At 38.1% G+C, this 22247-nt stretch overlaps 1 protein-coding gene across 4 annotated transcripts in view; it reads left to right on the top strand.

Annotated features, from left to right (window-relative positions):
• Positions 1 to 22247, top strand: part of ANK3 (ankyrin 3) — a 707231-nt gene that overhangs the window by 326921 nt on the left and 358063 nt on the right. For 2 of the 4 annotated variants that reach the window (NM_001320874.2, NM_020987.5), the window contains exon 1: positions 16733 to 17183. The exons of the other annotated variants lie outside the window; for them this stretch is intronic. In NM_001320874.2, the coding sequence (NP_001307803.1) occupies positions 17070 to 17183 (114 nt within the window). In that variant the 5' untranslated portion in view covers positions 16733 to 17069. Of the gene's footprint in view, positions 1 to 16732; positions 17184 to 22247 lie in introns of those variants that run through there. 4 annotated transcript variants of the gene reach the window in all.

Here is a 22247-nt window from a genome sequence, read left to right as displayed (position 1 = left end):
AGGCCACACAGCAGGAGGTGAGCCAGCATTACTGCCTATGCTTCACCTCCTGTCAGATCAGCAGTGGCATTAGAGTCTCAGAGGAGCACAAACCCTATTGTGAAGTGCACATGTGAGGGATCTAGATCGCTTGCCCTTTATGAGAATCTAACTAATGCCTGATGACCTGAGGTGAAACAGTTTCATCCTGAAACCATCTCCTAACCACCCACTTCCCCATCCGTGGGAAAATTGTCATTTATGAAACCAGTCCCTTGTGCCAAAAAGGCTGGGGGCTGCTGATCTAGGGGTCAGCAAACTACAACCCATGACCCAAATCTAGTGCCTGCCTGTTTTTGTAAATAAAGTTTTATTGGAATGCAGCCATGTCCATTTACGTATCATCTATGGCTGTTTTCATGCTACAAAAGCAGAGTTCAATTGTTGTGGTATTATGTATGGTCTGGAAAGCCTAAAATATCTACTATATAGCCCCTTACAGAAAGTTTGATGACAGAAAAAGTTTGACCCCTTTTATTGCCCTGACACTTTGAGCAAGGTCCTCTTTGAGAGTTTCTTCCACAAGAAAACAGAGATAATGTTGCTGGCCTTGTCTAATGTACAGTGTTACAAAAATGTAACCTGTTGTATATGAAAATTATATGTAAACTGAAAAAGGGTCTACCATGTAGTATTGGTTGCTTTTTCTCCCAACATGCTGTTAGGAGAATTTTCAAATGTAAAACAAAAAAAGTGGAAGAATATACAATGAATGCCCACATACCTGCCCTTAGATTCTACGATTAACATTTTGCTGTATTTGTTTTATTACCTATATACATTCTGTCAATCTCTCTATACATTCATTAATTTATCTTTCTTTTTATATATTTCGATACATAGATGTCAGTAAAATTCACCCTAAACACATTAGCTTATATGTTGTCATTAATTGGAGGTATTTATTTACTTTTTTCTTAGGTAAAATTTACATACAATGGAATGCACAAAACTTAAATGTACCAGTTGATGAATGTTGGCAAAAGCATATACTTGGTAACACAGATCTTTTTGAGACACAAAACATTACTATCACCCCAGAAAATTTTCTCCCTTCCCAGTCAATTCCCACCTCACTCCACTCCCAGAAGCAACCTCTGTTCTGATTTTTTTCACTATAGATTAGTTTTGCCTGTTTTAGATCTTCATGTAAATGGAACATACAGTATATACTCATTTGAGAAATGCTTCTTTTACTCAGCATAATATGCTCAGTAACAGTAGGGGTTTTTTCCTTCTTTAAGATTAATTGTATGAGTACACCACAGTTTGTTTATCCATTCACTTGTTAATTAACATCTGGGCTTTTATTTTTTTTGTTCCAAATAAAGCTTCCATAAACATTCTTATAGAAGTGTTTTTGGGCATATGTTTTCTGTCTCTTGTGGAAACATCTAGATGTGGAATTGCTAGGTTATAGGGTAGGTGTTTGTATTATTTTATAAGAAACTGCCAAATGTTTTTTCCAAGTGGTTGTGCAATTTCACACCCTCCACTCACAACGTATTAGAGTTCTGGTTGTTTTACATCCTTGCCAACATTTGGTGTTGTCAGTCTTTAATTTTAGCCTTTCTGGTAGATGATAGTAATATCTCATGTCAGATTTCATTTGCATTAGTCCCCAACTCTGTATGTATTGACCAATTTGTAAGTGTCTGTTAAAGTCTTATGTTCATTTTTAACTGTGTTTTTTATCTTTTTGTTTTGATTTGTTGGAGTCACTTATATTTTCTGGACACTGATCCTTGGACGGATATATTCTTGAAAATATTTTCTTCCACTCGTGGCCTATTCATTTTCTTAACAGTGGGCTTTGAAGTGCAGAAGCTTTAAATTTTAATGAAGTCTAACTTTTTTTTAAATTTTGTAACTACTATATTCTGTATACTGTATTAAGAAATGTTTGCCTACCCCCAGGTTGTGAAGATATTTTCCTATGTTTTCTTCTAAATGCTTTAGAGTTTAGTTTTTATGTCTAGATGTATGATTTTTCTTGGATTACTTGTAGTGTGTAAAGTAGGAGTTGAGGTTTATATTTATTCATATGGGTATTCTGTTGTTTTACATGATTTTTTCAAATGATTTTCCTGATTGAATTGCTTTGGTGCCTTTGTTGAAAATAAATCAATGATATAAGTGTAAGTCTGTTTCCCTTGCATTGATCTTTGTGTCTATCTTAATGCCAGTACCATACTGTCTTGATTATTGTGTCTTTCTGTAATAGTGAATTTTAAATTCAGGTAGTGTCACTCTTTCAACTTTGTTATTATTTTTCAAGATTGTTTTGGATATTCAAAGTTCTTTATATTCACATACAAATTTTATAATAAGTTTGTCTATTTTTTTAAAAAAAAACTTGTGGTGTTATGATTGGATCATGTTGAATCTACAGTTCTGAGGAGAATTTTCATTTTAATAATATTGGATCTTTCAATCCTTGAGTGTAGTAGATTTTTACCTTAATATAGATCTTTAATTTCTCTCAGCAATGATTATAGTTCACAATGTGGAGGATTTACATGTCTTTCATTAAATTTATCCAAAGTACTTTATGGTTTTTGATACTTTAAAAAGTAGAATTGTTCTTTTTTTAAATTCGATTTTCCAATCATTTGCAGCCATCATACAAAATACAGCTGATTTCTGTATGTTGATCTTGTATCCTGAAACCAAGCAAGATACACTTTTTAGTTCTAGGAGTTGTTTCATAAATTCTTTAGGATTTTCTGTGTTAACCATCATGTCATTTGTAAAAAGAGACAGTTTTACTCTTCCTCTCCAATCTTGTGGCTCTCTTTTCTTTGCCTTATTATACTGGCTAAGGTCTCCTGTATAATGTTGAATAGAAATAGTAAGAGTGCCAATACTCAGGAGAATGGTGTGAACCCGGGAGGTGGAGCTTGCAATGAGCCGAGATCGCGCCGCTGCACTCCGGCCTGGGCGACAGAGCAAGACTCCATCTCAATATTAAATGAATAAATAAATAAAAATTAAAAAGGGCCAATACTTTTGTCAGTCTTAGAGGAAAAGCATTCAATATTTCACCATTATGTGTAAATGAAGCTTGTATTCGGGGATAAGCCTCACTTTATTAAATTTGATTTTGCTAATATTTTGTAAAGCATTTTTACATTTCTCTTGATGAGAGAGATCAGTCTGGGGTGTGTATGTGTGCATATCTGTAATTTGCTTACTAGGTTTGGTGCAAAGGTTATGCTGGCCTCATAAAACAAATTGAAGTGTCCTCATTTGCTTTGTTTTCTGAAACAGTTGGTGTGATATTGATTTTTCCCCCAAAATGTTCAATAGAAACCACCAGCAAAACCATATAGGTGTGGAATTTTCTTTGTGTAATTGTTTTTGTAATGATTGTTTTTGTAGTAATTTCAATTTCTACATAGGCTCCTTAGATTTTCCTTTTCATCTTGTGTCAGTTTTGATAAGTTGTATTTTTTGAGAAATATATTCATTTTATCTAAATTTTCAATTTATTAGCATAAAGTTGTTCATAATATTTACTTTCCTTTTTCTTATCTATATGTTTTGTAGTGATAGTCCCTCTTTTATGCCCAGTATTTGTGATTCATATTCTCAGCCTTTTTTGGTATCAGTTACTTGCACTGCATAACAAACCACCCCAAACTTAGTGGTTTAAAATAATAACCACTTATGTAACTGTAGGCTGGCCACTGGGCTGGAATCAGCCAGGCAGTTCTTATGGTTCAGGCAGGTTCCCACAAATAGCGTCTTTGGTTACCTGCCAGTCTGCTAGGTGATGCTGCTGCTGGGGCTTGGCTGGCTGTTGTCTGGGGTGGGGGGTGATGGGCCACATGTCTCTGATTATCTACCAGGCTAACCCAGGCTTTTTGACATGGTAGCTTGGCCATGTTCCTAAACAGAATGGAAGTGTGCAAATTCTCTTGAGGCCTAGGCTTGGACTAGTGCAAAATTGCTTTTGTTCTTTTTTATACATTATATTGCCTAAAGCCAGTCACATAAACAACTCAGACTTATAGGGAGGAAAAATATAGTTCACCAACAATTCCAAGTGAGTGTGCATATAGGATCATTTATTTCAGTCTCCTGCATGTTAAGGCATATTACAAATGTATACACCATTTGTTATGAATTTAACAGTTCATGTAAGTAGTCTAATGTTACCATCAATGTTATGATACAGTAATCCTCAGGCATCCTCCCAGGCCTTACTGAGCAGTAAATTCTTTGGTGTCTCATCAAAACCATTTACCCCGTTAATACTTATGCATTTTTTTATTTATATTCTTAGTTTTATAAATCATTTATTTTGGTTATCCACACAACCCCAAACCAGTATAGTTCTAAGCTCTTTTTTGATCAATATTACTGCTCTATGATCCATAATACTTGAATAATTCAAAATGTGGCACTGGTAAATATTATCGTGAATATTTTGACTTTGGGTTTAAAAAACAGCTTGGGTTTTAAATAATTTACAGCTGTTAATAAGTTGTAAGTAAAATGAAACATAGCATAGATAATATATTTCTCCCGGTCCCCATTCTGTCTGCCAACTGTCACAGAAAATTCTTGGACAGAGAATATATAAGTAGAGTTGGGAATGGGATGATAGAAATACAGTTTAATTCCACCAGTCTCTTCAGTATATATTTTAGCCTAGCCGTTAAGTCAGGTTGATTTCACCTTTCCTGAAATCTACCTCCAGAAATTTATCCTAAGTTACTTAATGGGTATATGAACTCATCTGGTGATAAGTGGCCATTTATAGCATTGTTTCTCTCATAAAAAAAATTGGAGGCAATCTAAATGTGTAATAGAAAGGGACTGGTTTAAAAAATGACATGTACATCACATGGAATATTATACAACCTTTTAAAAGTTATAGAAGAGGACTTAGTGATTTGCATGGATATTCATTATATATGTTAACACATAATACATTTTAAAGTAGATTGTAAAACTACTTGAATGATTATATTCTTGGTAAAATAGTTACATTTAAATACATATAAACATAAAGAGATGCTTGGGATAATATACAACAAAATACTAATGGTACTCATTTCTGAATAGTGGCAATACAATTTTTAAAAAATTCTTCCTAGCTGAAATTTTCCTTTTATTTATCCTGTGCTTTTTGAGTGGCAGTTTTAAAATTTTATTTTATTGTGGTTAAGAACACTTAACATGATCTTTGCACTCTTAACAAAATTTGTAAGTGTACAGTACAGTTTAGTATCATTGCCTATCAGTGCAAAGATATACAGCAAGTCTCTAGTGCTTATTCATGTTGCTTGACCAAAATTTTATGCCCATTGATTAGTAACCTCCATTTCCCACTCTCCGCAGCCCCTGAGAACCGCCATTCCACTCTTTGATTCTATGAAGTAGATTGTTTTAGATACCTCATATCGTGGAATCATGCAGTATTTGTCTTTCTGTGACTGACTTATTTCACTTAGCATAATGTATATTTTTTGTTCTTCTGATTTTTAAATCCACGATTTGAAATTTTTAGAATGAATATATGTTGAAGGCAGGAAAAATGAATAAAAATGGCTTTTACAGAAAAGCTCTACACAGCCACAGTTTTCAAAATTATTTTTATTTTTTTGTTGCCACCCTCAATGCAGGAAGAGCTCTTGAGCTTTAGAAAGCCTGCAGAGTCACTTCACACACTGGGGCCTGTTGGGAAGTGGGGTGGGGAGAGGGAGAGCATTAAGAAAAATAGTTAATGCATGCTGGGCTTAACACCTTGGTGATGGGTTGATAGGTGCAGCAAACCACCATGGCACACGTTTACCTGTGTAACAAACCTACACATCCTGCACATGCACCCAAGAACTTAAAAATTAAAAAATAAATAAAATATAATTCAAGATATGACAGGAAATTCCCCTAACCTGAAGCAAGACTTGTTTCTTTAGAATCTAAAGGCAAACTGCACCTGCAGACTGCACCTGCTTTTATAAATAAAGTTTTTATTGTAATGTAAAAAAAAAACCTTGGAATGATCTGCTTATCCCCAAGACTGGTTTTATTGCCACCTTGATAGAATATGCTATCATGAAATGCAGTAGTTACCTTAGGATTGTTGTTTCTGCTGTTAATACTCACAAGTACTCATAAAGTGGGGCAATTCTTTTTAAATAAGCATGATTTCTTTTTTATTTGACATTACTGTGAGAAAGACTTGTAAAAGATTTTGGTTGGAAGCCGAATCAGCATTCTTATTCCTTTCCCATAACTCCTATTCATAGGATCTGAAATCTTTTTAAAAACTCAAATTGGCTAGAAAATTATTGTTAAAAATAGACACAAATATCGCATCTGTTTTAAACCACTGGTTGTTATCCTGTGCTTGTCTCACCAGTCTGACTGAAGAGCTCACTGACAAAGTAATATCCATTACACATCTGTAGTAAAATGGTATTTCTATTTAGCAAATCCCACTGTTATCACTGGTGTAGTACAGACTTTAGCCAAATCTTACTAGATTTTAGTGCCATGGCTGCACACACACACACACACACACACACACACACACACACACACACACTGTATTGGAGGTTTTGATTTATATTTTGTTTTCATTGAATAGATTGTTCAAGCTAATTTTCATCTAGAAAAGGGCTAATGCAACGGACACTCGGTAATGCCCAGGGATATTGAAACTTTCTGTAACCCAAATTAAATTTGATTTAAATTAGATGTATGCTGGAAAGAATTTTTAGAGTGGAGCAAAGTGTTGCGATATCACCACCTCTGCAGAAAAGACCACAATTTAAATTTTTTCATTAAATTATTTGGTTTGTTGCGGGAAGGAGCAAAACCTAGATACTGATTACTGATGGCTAAGTGTACGGAGTTTAGTGCAAGCTTTCTTGTGCCGGCGGAAGCACTGGGGCAGATTCAGTCCACCTGGGTAACTGTAGCGGCTCCTTGCCTGCAGCTCCGTTGTTCAGGCAGCTTGTTACATGTCAACACCTGCTCATTAGGAACTGGACCAAGACTCCCAGAGAGCTCTCCGATGGCCCTGGTTTTGTATCCCTGCCAATCTGCGCTAGAATTTAATAACAACCTTGAGGTGAAACTTGGGCCTTTCCTCATTGCTAATCCCCAAAACCATCTGGCCCTTCCCTTTCTCTGAATAACAATTTTGTGCATGCGTGGTGGGAGGGAGGAGGATGGGGTGAGAGAAGGGGAACAAGCATCTTACATTTCTTAAAGGACAATGTATTCACTTTCAGAGTAGATAGAGTTTCTTTTAGGTCACAGACCTGAGCTCGTTCTTTCCATAACTTCCACATCTTTAATGGCCAGATAATTGTTTAAAATTTGCAACACTCATTAACTGTTGACAAACCTCCAAGTTTAGTTTTTTTAATGAAATAATGCCAAAAAGAAGCCTGTAAGTCTGTAATCATGATTCTGATGTTTAAAAAGATTATGCATTTTCTCTTTAATTTTCCACTGGGTTTAGTACAGTATTACATACATAGGCGATACCCCATAAATATTTATGTATTCCCATGTGTTGCCCTAAAAGTAATTGAAGTAATTTATGTGCTCTACAAAGTAATTGAAGTAAGATATGTGTCGTATATAATAGGAAATTACAAATAAAATATAAAGCATCAGAACTTCCTATGCCCTCTCCCCACCCTAGGGGAGGAACTGGACATAGTGAACCAGATATGCTATGTATTGCATACAGGGCATTGTGTTTATGACACTGTTAGAGGTTCACTCCAGGGAAGATGACCATTGAGTGAATGCCATATGCAATCACCTGTACTACTTAAAATTGTTTTCTTACTTATGCTTGCTGACCATTTGTTGAGTTTGGGTGTCTTAAATAATGTTTGGATTATGCTGCTTCATTAAAGAAGGTACCCAATAAATATTTGTTAAATGAGTGAATTAAAGAAACGTTATCTGTGTGGACATGGTATAGAAAATGTACATAGCAACATACGTTTTTCCATCACTGAAATGTCAGTGATCATGTTCAAATCCAGAGGACAAATTTTCATGGGTATTATGTGAATACACACATCCACACATGTATACATACATGTATGCATATCACATATACCTGTGTGTATATGCATACAGGTATGCACATATACATGTATGTACACATAAATATTCCAAGCATCAGGTTTTGACCATGCTGTCCATTCACCCTTTCCCAAAGACCCTCAGAATGATATGTTATTAACAATGTGCTACCTCAGAAGAGCAGTCAGCAAACAGGCCTGCAGGCCACATCCAGCCTTATTTTGGTATAGCCTGTAAGCTAAGAATGTTATTTACATTTTAAATGGTTAGAAAGAAATTAACAAGGAGTATATTTGGTGACACCTGAAAGTTATATGAAACTCACATTTCAATGTCCATAAATAAAGTTTTATTGGATTAGAGAGACATTTTGATACCCTTACATATTGTCTCTGGTTGCTTTTTCACAGAGTCCATTAGGTGCAATAGAGACCACCTGGCCTTTGGAGCCTGAAATATTTACTCTCTGGCCCTTTACAAAAATGTTTGCTGACTCATGTCTTAGAAGATACAAAAGATAAGTAGGATGAAATCTGCCTGAATCAACGAATACCTCACAGTATTACAAACAATGCTGTTCACTCTCAGCCCCTTTTTAAAAGATATTGGGAAAGAATGAAAAAATTGTTCTCGAGTTGTATTTTTTGAAAGGACCTCATCACCTTTATCTCCAAAACATAGGACCTTATATTCCAGACAGACTGTTTTGAATATTCAAACTTTAATCGTTCTTGTGATTATATTGGCATGATCTAATGGAAGGGCAAGGAAAAAGTTGCAAAGTTGTGGAACATATAACATGAAACTCAATTAGTCTGATTCCAATTTGCCTTCCAAAACAACATGAAAGAGAAAACCTGCTAACACTTGCCAAGTTCAAGGACAAGTAGGAAGAGGGTGAATCCCAAATCTACTCAGGAACCCTGAGTGCCAATCTGTGTTACTGTCTCCCCAACAAGATGATGTCCTGTGTTTGCGTGTTAATGTTTTTGTTCTCTGTGATGTCCGTCTTGCTTCATAGACATTGCTTATTGAAACACACTAGTAAGATAGGGAAGAAGCAGGTGTTATTTCCACTCTACAGAAGGATGAGGCTATAAACTCTACATGTAGCCCTTTCCATGGCAGGAAGTCAGTTCATTGCTAAATCCAAGAAAATAAGATGTCTTTTTGTTAGACTTAAATTTCTGCATGGTGGATATGTTCCACAATATGCTAAAGAATTATTATCTGAGTTTTAGTCTGAAATTTGACTGATTTTCATTATAGCATCTGGAGTAGTGTTTAGTTTTTTTTTTTTTTTAATCCTACTATAAGTATGACCTCCTAAATCAACGAATTAAATGCTTCATTCTCTAGAGATAAGATCCTTTGCTTTCTTATATGTGCTGCTCCATTCCTCCTACACAGAGTCAGCAAATGATTCCTGGGCCAACAGTCTCCTGAATCTTCAAATACAATCTCCTTTGTACCTTTGCCTTTAAGTTGCTTCTTGAAAGAAATGTTTTGAAAGTGAATTTGCTTTCCTTACATCTTGGTCAGAACTCACTAACATAAAAGGATGCAAAAATCAATCACTTCATCCTTACTGTAATTGTATTTCAGCATCACAGCGTGTATGTTGGGAGAGTTAAGAATTCCTTTCATGTTACAGATACAGAAACAGAAACTAGGTAGGATAAGGTCTCTGTAAGGTCTCATAGCTACTTAGCGACAAAGTTGGCGTAAGAGCTATTTTGCCTTACTTAGTTACTTTCATTATATTTCCTTTTGGCCAGCTTAAATATAATTACTATATAGACATTAAATTACGAGAGTTTATTGAATTATCAGAAGAAATCATTTCATAGAATGTTACATTTGACTATGAAACAACAAGACTTATTTCCACAAGGTACACAGGAGAATTTATTTCATTACTCAGTGGTTATACTTTATCAGTCTTTTTGAATTGTTATTAAGCTATAAGTTAATAAAGGTGATGGAAACTATAATTATACAAATAGTTTAAGAGATAAGTGTTACCAAAGCATATCTATTATCTTCAGTAATAAGTATATTTGAATTGAACACATTACTTGAGAAACCAGTCAGTCTTCACTATTAAATGAATTTCTTGGTTTAGAGGGCAATTTTTGGAGAATTACTACCCTAATAGAGTGAAATACCTGATTCAGCTGGCTCCTCACTGTCTTGATTTATTTTTCCTGGGGAATGTAAACATGGAAGGAAGCAGAGAGTTCAAAAACAATTGTTCCCTATCTGGTCACTTTCAATTCACCCATACTAATTTATTTTCTTCATAGCACTTGTTACTATCTAAAATTATCTTGTTCATTTTTTTATTTGTTTACTCCCTGGCTCGATATTCAAGAATTGAAGCTTCTGAAAAGGGGATCTTATCGGCTTCATTCCCCATTGTATCACCAGCACTAACAGTAGTAGCCAGGGCGTAAAGGGAGTTTTGTATTCTCTGTTCAGGTTATGAGCAGTTGGGCATGTTGACTAGAATATCAAGGGGTCACTTGTGAAATTGTAAGTTTCATGGGTAGCGAAAAGAGATCTGACCTAGAAAGCATTGTGCTGAGTGCTGACCTCTTCATTCTGTTTTACGTTACCCCATCCCTGCTTCTGTAGCACCTGTCTGTGTGTTCTAATTATTGGTGTCCTTGTCTTTCTCGCCCATGGAAACTTGAGGGCAAGGACCAAGTCTCATTTCTCTATATGTCCCTGGTGCTGAACACAGTGACCAGCAGGGTGAGGGAACACGTCCATGAGCACACGAATGCTTCTTTCGGCACAAGTGCCTGAGGACATATCTTCATGCCTCACCTCTACAAAAGAAAGAAAGAAAGAGAGAGAGAGAGAGAGAGAGAGAGAGAGAGAACGAAAGAGAGAAAGAAAGAAAGAAAGAAAGAAAGAAAGAAAGAAAGAAAGAAAGAAAGAAAGAAAGAGGCATAGTAGTTGATTGCTAAGTGTTCTCTGCTTGTTTGATGAAACACCTGCCTTCAGGAAGACAATTTCTGACAGATCGGGCTCTCTTTTTGTTAGTACTGTGTAAGTTCTTTATGTAGACGAGTGCTGTCGAGTAGGAATGGAGTGTAAGTCATGCATCTAATTTCACATTTCGAATAACCACATTTAAAAAGCTTTAAGAAAGTGAAATTAATTTAATAATATGTTTTATTTAACTGAACACATCCCAAATATTATTTCAACATGAATCAATATATAAAATCATTGAGCTACTTTGCATTTTTTGGTACTAAATCTTGTAACCTGTTATGTATTTTACGTCTCAATTTGGATGCAAAATTTTTGTCAGAAATATTTGATCTGTATGTTATATCATAAAATTTAAAGTTAGAAAAGTAGATTTGCATATCCAAATTGTTCCAAACACACTTGCATGTGTTCTAGTATCTGAATTGAATATCAATTTTAATTTGAAATTTTAAATAAAACTAAATATTTAGTTCTCCAGTTACACTACTCACATTTCCCTACCAGTAGCCACATATGGCTAGTGGCTACTGTATTGGCCAGTGCAGATTATATATAAACTCTGCTTGAATAAAACTTCCTTATATATTTTTTTAAATTTGCAAACACCCAAACCCTCCTATCACATCAAATCACAGTATTCTAGAAGAGTGAGGACTGTCATCGAAGTCATCTGGTCCAGCTGCCTCCTTTTACAAGAGCCAGAGCACAGAGAGGAAGTGGCATGTGGTTCATCTTCCTCCCACTCCTCTCTTGGTGCCTGCTTTGCACTCAGAACTCTGCCAGGCACTACCAGTCTACTCCTTTGGGTTAAACAGACACCACAGATATGGTTGTGGGGGCCTTCTGTGTGCAACGGAGGATCTCCTCCTCTCTGCAGGCCAGTGTGGGTGTGATGGAGAGACCTTGGGGAAGCCTCCTCATGTGCCTGTTCCTGTCTGCCCATGTGAGGTCACAGAGGCAGCTGGCATGCTTGGGACCAGCTGGCTCTCTCTCCAGCACTGAGGTCAAGCTGGATAGTCAGATAGATGGGGAAAGAGGGCAGACTAAGTGCTAAGACAGATGGCACCAAGGCCAGTGCTTGTTATCCAGAGGTGCCACCCCCTACAAGGGGTGTATGAATGGCTACCAGTCCCTCAATGCTATCCAGTCACAGTTTTTTAAGAACTTCATATGTCTCATCTAAAAGTGAAAAATAATATGAGACTGTGAATTAAAAATTTTCCAGGTGTGTTTTTTATTTTGTCATTTATAACCATTGACAAGTTTAGCGCTTGTTTTCTTTCCTTTTCCTTCACCTTGTTCCAAACCTGCTCTAGGTCTCTTGATATCATCTAGGATGCCAATAATTAATGAAATGATCGTGGATCCGGATTTCTTTGTGAAGAAGAAATATTTTGACTATCTCTTATGGCGAGGCTGCTCTGCTTCTGAGAAAACTGAAGTGGGTGCAGCATGAAGTCGTTCTCATTTCATCAAAACACACACTTGCCTCATTACCAGGAACCTGGATTAGGGTTGAGGAGGCACACCCTCCCTGGCAGCCCTGGAACCATTTCTCTCTTTAGTTTCTTTCTTACTTCCATCTTCCATTATTCTATATACTCCCCATCTTCTCCTTCTTTATAGTACAGTGTAATATTTTTTAAATGTGCACAGCTCTTGTAACTTCAAAATCCCCAAGTGACAGTGTCATCTCTGTGGAAACCGCATATGTTGTTATTAGTTTGTGTGTCAACTCAGCTCAACAAGGTAGACACACAACATGAAATGACAAGAGAGAGTAGTCAAGTTATTAATTGGCTGAATTAATATTTAGAGCTTTTCTTGAAATCCTGGAAAGGTGTATGTGAAAAATGAGCGGGGAGAAATACTTGGCTGTGATATCTAAAGTCTTTAAGGCATCCTAATGAACTGATTTGGCTTTATTTTTGGTGGAATATTTAGTCACAATTGTTTGATTCCTGGATTAGATGTTATCTGGAGTATGCCCATTACTCCATATGCCCAACATGGAAAGATATTTTTATTGTTTTTATAGAAGATTCATGCTCTAATAATGCCCAGGCGGGAAGCACTCTACATGAAACTTGTTAGTTCTGGTAATAAATTAAAAAAAATTATTTCGGACAATTTTTAGCAGGGAGAATCACTTTTTTGACATAACTTCTAGTAACAAAGCTGCAAGCAGGGAAAACACTGAGACTCTTTGGGGCAGTATGGTGGCTTTCAAATTGTGCTCACCAAAGCTGCCTTCTGGAGGAGGGCTGGGAGAGCCAAAGAGCTGGGGCTCCAGGATACCATTTTTCCATTCAGCCATGCAGCTCCGCTGTTATGTTTATTATAAGTACCTTTCCTGTAGGACTTATTTGAAGAATGATTTCTTCAGCTAATAAAAATTTGAAAGATCTCTCTGTACTACATTTTGGAAGCATGGCTTAGGAATTCTTGTACCTGGGACTTTTATAAAACAAGAACAGATTTTTTCTTTTTTTCTTGAGAAAGGGAAGTCACTTAAGAATTTTTGTCCTTAGCTTTTTTTTTCTTTTTTGGGGGAGGGAGTGGGGAGCCAAGGGACAGAGCCTTGCTCTGTCACCCAGACTGGAGTGCAGTGGTGTGATCTCAGCTCACTGCAACCACCGCCTCCCAGGTTCAAGTGATTCTCATGCCTCAGCCTCCCGTGTAGCTGGGATTACAGGTGCACACCAACACGCCCAGCTAATTTTTGTATTTTTAGTAGAGATGGGGTTTCACCATGTTGGCCAGGCTGGTCTCGAACTCCTGACCTCAAGTGATCTGCCCACCTCAGCCTCCCAAAGTGCTGGGATTATAGGCATGAGCCACCGCGCCCGGCATACCCTAAGCTTTTAATAGCTTTGACATTCCGTGCATGGGCCACGCCCATCCTATGTAAATCCTATGTAAACATTCTCATGGTCAATGGCAAGTAGTAGGACTGGAGAAGTTGCTGTAGAGGGAGGTGACCGTCGGCCTGACTGGACCTTGTACTGTTGTTTCCTCTAAGGCCATGTTTGCATCTCATTCTTGTTGCTACCAGGGATCTGCCCCACTTCTCAGACACATGAGCTTGTACCAGTTGGACGATTGGTTGTACTTTAAAGATTCATACCAGTTTTTAATCTCCCAAATGACCATAAGTTCTTGAAATTTAAGTGGACATTTTTGATAAAACTTTAGTCAAGGAATAAAGTTTTTAAAAGTTGTTTTAATGTTTTCATTTCAGCTATAATAAAGGCTTTCTGGAACTATTGATAAAACTGTCAATTCAGTTTTGGGGGGAAACTGGCATTTGTGGCTATCTTGAGTCAATGCCTTTGTGTTGAGAATAAGTACACAAGGAGCTTGAGAGTTACTTGTCAGGATGTCTGCTGTGTAGGGAGAAAGGGATTTAGCCTTTAGTAATATCACAGTCAAAACCTAGGACCCACAGGGCTGCCTTTCTTAGTAGAGTCACTGTTCAAAGTTCTAGTTTAGAAATGGAAGATAAAAGATCACATTTTCTGTTAAAAAAGTAATCTGAGCAAGCTATACCTTAGGATTTATTTTTGATGGGCTAACCACTTACTGAGATAAGGGAAAATCCAAGGCAACAAAAAAGTCACATTATAGAGTCCTAAAAAGCCATGACACATTCTCAACTTCTGAACATTTGGGGGAAGCAAAGAGTTATTCTAGAGAGAAGTATGTTGAAAAATACCTGTGGCTTATTTTCCTAATTTCCAACTATACTTTTGCCGATAGAAATCAATGAGAAAGTATAGTGCTTTGCCAGCCTCAGACGGAGAAGTTACTTGATCAAGCACACTTCTAAATATATTTTAAAGTATCATTAGCGTCTATAAAGAAAGAAAAGATGATCCAGGAGCCAGTGGGAAAGACGCCAGCTTTTTAGCTGGCTGTTCTCTTCAACTTGCTGAAAATAAAAGAAATTGTATGAACGTTTTTCAAAAGTATAAGACGATTTATATTGGGAAAATGCATACGAAGTTTTAATTTTTACTCTGCCCCAGCTGTTACTAATACAGTAAAATATCTTAGTAGAAAAACACTCATTTTTACTACAAAGACCCAAATACCTTTCATCTGCTTTTGGAGCTGAATTACATTTAATCCCCCACCTTCATTTTTCTCCATTTTTGTATGGTTTCATAGGCAATGGAGAAACTTTCCAGAACTCTTTCTTCATGAAGATAGTTTGTGTGGAAGTCAAGCATGTGAGCATCGGTGCACATAGTAGGCCCTTGGTAACTCTATGACCAGCGTGGTTTCCCTGTGGTTCACCGTGAGGCCTCAGAGAAGTGCGCAGTCCATTGGTAGTAGGAATGGGATGCCATGGTCCCTGATTCTTTCCCTTCCCATTTTTATCACTGCTTCGCAGAGACTATAAAGCGTCCTACAAGAGGAAAAGAGGAAAGACCTTTGAACCCCAAATCTAGAAGTATGGTGAGTAAAAGTTGTTTGCAGGAACTCACACTTGGCACTCTTTGTGAAGCAGACAAACAACAGCTCCAGAGAACCCCAACCAAATCCTCACATGATGCATTGGACTTGGTGCTGTGTCCTTTACACACCTACACTTTCAGCCCTACAAAGTCAAATGCACCGACCGCCAAAGTTATGGACTTTTGTATCGGAAGCACACATGCTAACAAAGTATTTTCATCAGAACATCTTTTTTTTTTTTCTGACTCATTTTCTTGGTGAAATTGTTGTTTGTGTGTGTGTGTGTGTGTGTGTGTGTGTGTGTGTGTTCTTTTTTTTACTAGGTCTCATATGTTTTAGGCCCAGCCTGACATTTCAGCAGTTTCTTGCTAAAGCGCTTACTGTGAATACTGTGTAGTATGTGTGCAAATGACTCCCGACTTATTAGATTTCTTCCGGTGTGTGCATCCTAGCAGAAGACACCCCAGCAGGCCTTGAGCACTGCTGCTGCTTCACTTCACATAATGAATATTCAGAGGCTGCAGTCATTGAGAACTCAGGTGGCAAAAATAGTAAGGTGATTGAAGCAAACCCTAACATGAAAGCAAATCTGCATTTCAGTGACTCAGAAACACTGATTACAGCACAGATTCCTGACCCTCAGACCCCATGAGAGGAGAGTCCTGGGGAACCTCCTATGAATCAGGCATCTGTTCCATACACCAATATGCTCACGTCTTTCTGTATGATGTGTTGTAATCAGCATGTTGTTTTTAAAAGACAACAAGCCCTTCTGTAGTCCTCCCCACAAAATGCATTTAGATTGATAGTTCAGCATAAAGGATGCACTGTTGAGACAGGCAATACATGCATTGTTTTCCCTGTAATGCAGTCAGGATCTCCATAGCAAAATTTAGTGTGTTTTTTGAAATCTTATTTTATATATTTTGTCACCATCAGCAGTTGAACTAAAGTAGGAACAGCTCCATTCTATCAGGGGTTAAATTATTCTCCGTGTAGATCTAGTGGTGATGTATAAATTGCAGCCTTTTCTTTTTTTCAAAGGATTCTAAAATAGGTTTTCAGAATTAGCGCTGGATTTTTGCTTCTGCATGTGTGGTGACTCTTGATTCTTCCCCTTTGGAGAAGCATCCTTTGCAGCATTCCCCCTTCCGAGGAATCACTTAGACACTTCCAGCTGGTGGCAGGGGATACAGCCATAATACAGCTTCCTCTGTCCCAGCTGTCTTCTTCACTACGGTAAATGCATTACGATGGCTGCACTCTCCTGTAAAGGTTCAGGTAGAGGAAGGTGTAGGATGAAGTCCGGACACCATCATTTGGGTTTTTAAAAGCTTCAGCTTCTCCAGCATCTTTGCATTGTGAATATCTTCCTGCTTCTAGTCAAAGCTTTCTCTCTAGTGATTGGAATGCTGCTGTAAGCCTGATTAGAGGTGCCTGAGGATATCACCTTTTACAAGGAAGCCGTGTGTGCTTGAGAGGATCTTTTTAAATGCATTATGGCTCATGCAGCCTCACAATTAAAGAAAAACAGGGATTTAGAAATCAATGCTGAAGAAGAGCCTGAGAAAAAAAGGAAACACCGCAAACGGTCCCGGGATCGGAAGAAAAAGGTATCTATGTATGCCAGAGCATATATCTTGCCTGGATTCTTTTTGTTTTAATCTCCCTCTGGCATCTGTTAGAAGCATTAAGGGTTATTTTTACATGCTGGGTAGAGTGTAAATTGGGTGTGTAAATTGGGAACAGATGATAAACCCTATGGCAGAACATGGCCATAGGATGGGCAAGGCAAGAGGGACGGTTTTCTCCTGTGGGGTGATTGCAGGGCTATGCGGAAAGTGTGCTTCACTTTATATAGGCATGGGCATGTTTCCATGACATGGAAAGGTGCTGTGAGGGAGTTACAAAAGTAGTTTCTTCACAGCCCAGTCAAGGTGAAATGCACTGCGGTGACTTGGGTTAGAGGGAGAGGCCAGAGAACCAGGCTTTGTACTTCTTAGAGGTTTGTCTCGTGGAAAAAGAGCTTTTGTGCTGGAACTGTGTCACATGCGTGCGTTTCCCAGGCAGATCTGTGACCTTAGAGGAGTAGCACAAAAGTCATTTCCTGCTTTGCTTTTATTTCCTCTTTCTTTCCTTTTGCCTCTTATTTTTATAAGGTGCTTTTTGTCAAGTTGTGCAATGGAAATAAGCTGCTAGAAATAACTTTCTTTTGTTAAATAAAGCTGAAATCACAGAGGTTTGTTTTTCCCTGCTGGGTGAAAGTGATTATCCTGAACGCAGGAATTCCAGTAACCTGCAACCTTCAACACTGATTGCTTTAGATCAAAGCATGGGCATTGATGATTCCTTACTGATATTCCAAGGCAGGGGGAAAATAGGAGGAATATTCTGGGTCAGTGGTGATTTATTATAGCCCGTGAGTACTTAGAGTGCCCTTAAATATGACTCCTAGGTACTGAGCTGGGAGTAAGACCCCAAAGCACTTTTCCTCCATGATAATTAATAAAAATTGACTAAAACTCTGTGATCTGAATAGGAAAGGCAGGTCATAAAGCATTTTTATGTGTCTTTGTGAAAATTCCCAAAGGAAAGATATCCTTAATTTGAGCAGTAAGGCATGTGCTTTCTAAATGACATGCAGATTGCATCTCCCACATGTACCCCTCTTCAGGAGTGACCATGAATATTCCTGGTACCTTTGCCATTTTCTTCAGAGTTAGGATCTATAGAAGACTCTCTGCCTTTTGTTGCATAGCTGACTTTGAGATTGAAGCTGGAGAGCTGCAGTTGTTTCACTGCAAGATGTTAAATATAGATAGTTCCTACTTTGATATTCTTGTAAATAAACTTCTTGAATATATTTTCATAAAAATACAAACTTGGGTTAAGAAATTGTGTGCAGGCGTATTTCAAAGCCTTGCACAGCACAGTTGTTATGAAATTGCCATACTTTGCTAGATTCTGGTCTAATTTTATTGTGTGAGGTTTCTCTGTGGGTAGGTCACTACCACTTGCCCCCTGTCCATACATCTCTGCCTACCCCCACCGTGATAAACTAGCTTCTAAGAAAGATGGAAAAGGTACATATATTTGTATGAAGATATGGTGTCATATTAATATTGACACTATATTTTAGGGTTGTTAGGCTAGCTAGGTTTATGTACAGCAGTTTTCGGTAGCAGTGATGACAGATCTGTTACCTTTGTGCCTGGGTCCCTGTTTGACTTGGAAGCAAAATAGGGAAGGGGTGAGGCAGAGGGAGTTTCTGGACTCAATGAGCTGTAGCAAATGCTTTGTGGACCAAAGTGCTTTGTTACCAGTACAACAGAGTCTGTCCAATGTAAATCTCTTAGCAACCAGAAGGGAACAAGGAGAAATATCAATATCGCTATTGTAAATGTGCAAGTGGATTTAAATGTTTTGTTCTCAGGACACTCACAGAGTAGATCCTAAAACTGGCTCATGGATAACACTTTCATTGCTGTTGTACTTGTTAATTCTTAACATAGTAAAATAGGTATATTCTGTAAGATACAGTGTATTACAGAAGATATAATATTCATAGTCCAATTATTTCATATACTACTTGTAATGTACAAAGTTAAGACTGAATTATTTTGAAAACACTCTAGATTTCCTTCAGTGGCATAGCCATATATGACCCTCATTCCTCTATAAAGTGAATTGTTATGACTTTGAGTTTCTTTATCCCCACCTTTTTCTAAGATCCTGATGAAGGCCTATGGGCTACTTCGTTCCATGTTGTAGACCTCATGTCAATAAAAAATGCTGCTTCTAAATATTTTGTGGGTTATTATGGGGATAGTTGCTCTTGTTCATATGCAGAAATATTGTATAGGATTTTTTTTTTTTTGAGATGGAGTCTCACTCTTGTTGCCCAGGCTGGAGTGCAGTGGCATGATCTCGGCTCACTGCAACCTCCACCTCCTGGCTTCAAATGATTCTCCTGCCTCAGCCTCCTTAGTAGCTGAGATTACAGGCACCCGCCACCCTGCCCGGCTAATTTTTGTACTTTTAGTAGAGATGGGGTTTCGCCGTGTTGGCCAGGCTGGTCTTAAACACCTGATCTCAGGTGATCCACCCGCCTAGGCCTCCCAAAGTGCTAGGATTACAGGCGTGAGCCACCACACCGGGCCAGGAGCTTTTAATCACATAAAAGTAATAGTGGATACGCTCAAAAGCTTGGGAAAATCCTAAAGAGTATCTAGTTTATAAAATAAGGAATTTGGTCCATGACACTCCTGCAGTTCAGGTTTGAGCAAGGCCAAAGACGAAGCTTTCTTGATTAGGTGTGATGACACAGAATCGTATAGTATGGGATATCACTATGTGTTATCATGAAATCATAATACATATGTAGACTTAACATTGGATTCACATTTCATCAAGTTTTTAAAAACTCAATGAATTATACATATGGTCTATTTTGAATATGTTAATCATGAGTACATGATTACCAGTCCAAAAAAAAAAAAGCAGTACAGAACTTCTAGGAATTTATAATTAGTTGAGTTTTAATAAAGATGTGTTTTATTCTTGACATAACTTAAGTAGTGTTAAGAAAAAGGAAATCTTCCTATTTGTTGAAAGGAAATGCGTCTAGGTGGATGAAACTTTACTTTTTTATTACTAATTTGTCTGGCTTGAAAAAAAAAAGTTTGAATGAGTATCTTCTTTAAAAGGTGCTTATCAATGCACTTACAAATGCCCCTTAGCCATACTTTCCCACTGCCCTTCCCTGCCATATCTTTTTCCCTTCACACTTCTCTGCTCACGGGCCGCTTAGGTTGGCAACCAGTGGGAGGCATGCCAAAAGTAGATAGAGTGCCTTTGGGTGGGTTATTACTAGATCCCTGCCCTGACTGAGCAAGTAGCTGAGAAGAGCTGTTTATATCCCCTGCTCCCAGCAGGGCCCTGGTCCATGAGCAGTGGTTGGTAGGTGGCTCATCCTACCATAAAGCCATGATGGGCTGAAGTCACACGTGCTCTCTTTGTGGTCAGGCTGCAGTCCTAGCACATTGACTGTCGTTGTTGGCTTCTGGTACCATGTTACCTGCGTGTCATGCCCTCTCCCCACATACACTATAAAATACGTTTCAACAGTGAGGGATATTACTAGAATTGACCCTAATTTGTTCCATAAGTGGGTTTTGTTAGTATATGAATACATGCTTGTATATATTTACCAAGTCCTGTCAAAAAATTTGAGGTGACCTAATGAAATTTATATTAAAAAAGGAAACATTTTGGAGTTTGCTCTCAACAGATAGGTAAGTAGGTAGGTAGATCTCTCTCTATACATGCGCCTGACACAGTGCTAGATACTGGGATAAAATGACAATTAATTCCATGATTAACATCTTTTCTGATTATTGATGTCAAACATACAGTTAATCAGTGACAGAGCAGGAACAAATATTCATTGCTTCATTCTTGTATTCATGTATTCATTCAGTAAACATTTATTAAGTGACTTCTGTGGATCAGGCATTGCATCAAATGTTGGAGACAAAGCCAATCAAAGCATAGTGGCAACACTACAGTAACACCCAGAAGAGGCAGGGAAGGAGAAAGATAAGAGCCACTAATCACCCTCCATAGAGAATGAAGAGGGAGCCCCAGGAGCCCACAGAAAGACCCTCACCTGGCTCAGATGCACTCAGAGGAGAATCTCAATGAAGCTGAGCTTTGGAGGAGGAGTCAGCAAGATAGTCAAGCAGAAGAACAGGAGTCTCATGCCCAAAGTAACAGAAGTAGGAGAGACTATTAGGCTGTGTGGGAAACAGTATTTTTGAATTCCTGGAGCAAAGGGGACCTGAGTGTGTGGCACGAAAAGTAAGCAGGTGCCAGAGCATGAAGATCTTCATATGCCATCTTGCATAGTTTGGAAATCACCCTGCTCAAAGCGGGGAGAGACCTTAATGGTGGTGGTAGAAGAGAGGACTGTGAATAGCTTTATGGGGTAGAGCCATCACTCAAGCATCCGTGTTGTAGCAGCAGCAGCAGGGAGAGCAGTCAGGAAGCTCTGATGGGGATCCAGGCACGAAATGCTGAGTGTGAACCAAGGTGGAGACTATGCCAGTGGAGAGGGGGTGTTGCATACCAAAGATATTTAGGGGAAGACTCAGTAGAACTTGGCAATGGATTGTAGGCAGGATGTGAGAGAGAGATCGGATTCTAGGATAACTGCCAAGTTCCTGGCTTGAAGGGGAAGAGGAAGAATTAAATGTCCTGGATTCATGTCTTTTCTCCCAGGCCATTTATTGACCACTTATTCTACACTAGGTAGGGTATTACATTGCTTTATAGGTGGAGACTAATTTAGTCTTCCTAATAACCCTTTGAGAAGAGAAAGTATTTTTTTATTATCCCCATCTTACAGACAAGGAGACTGAGGCTGAGCCTTGAAGCTAGTTGCCCAAATTTTCACCCTAGTCAGACAGTGGTAGAGCTAAGATTCCAATTTGGACAGTCTAACTCTCTAGCTTGTGCTCTTAACTACTGTGCCATACAAGGTATGTAGTATATGGCATTAATATTTTCACAGCTACACATCAAAGTGGGCTTGTTTCAGAAAATCTTCTAAGTAATAAGCTATTTTCTAGACATGTGAAACTTTAAACGACAGGCTTTATGTCTCTAATTCAGTATTG

Source organism: Homo sapiens, chromosome 10, assembly GCF_000001405.40.
Source record: "Homo sapiens chromosome 10, GRCh38.p14 Primary Assembly".
In the NCBI taxonomy this organism is placed as follows: domain Eukaryota; kingdom Metazoa; phylum Chordata; class Mammalia; order Primates; family Hominidae; genus Homo; species Homo sapiens.
Note: the sequence above shows the minus strand (reverse complement) of the source record. Positions and strands in the feature narration are given on the sequence as shown.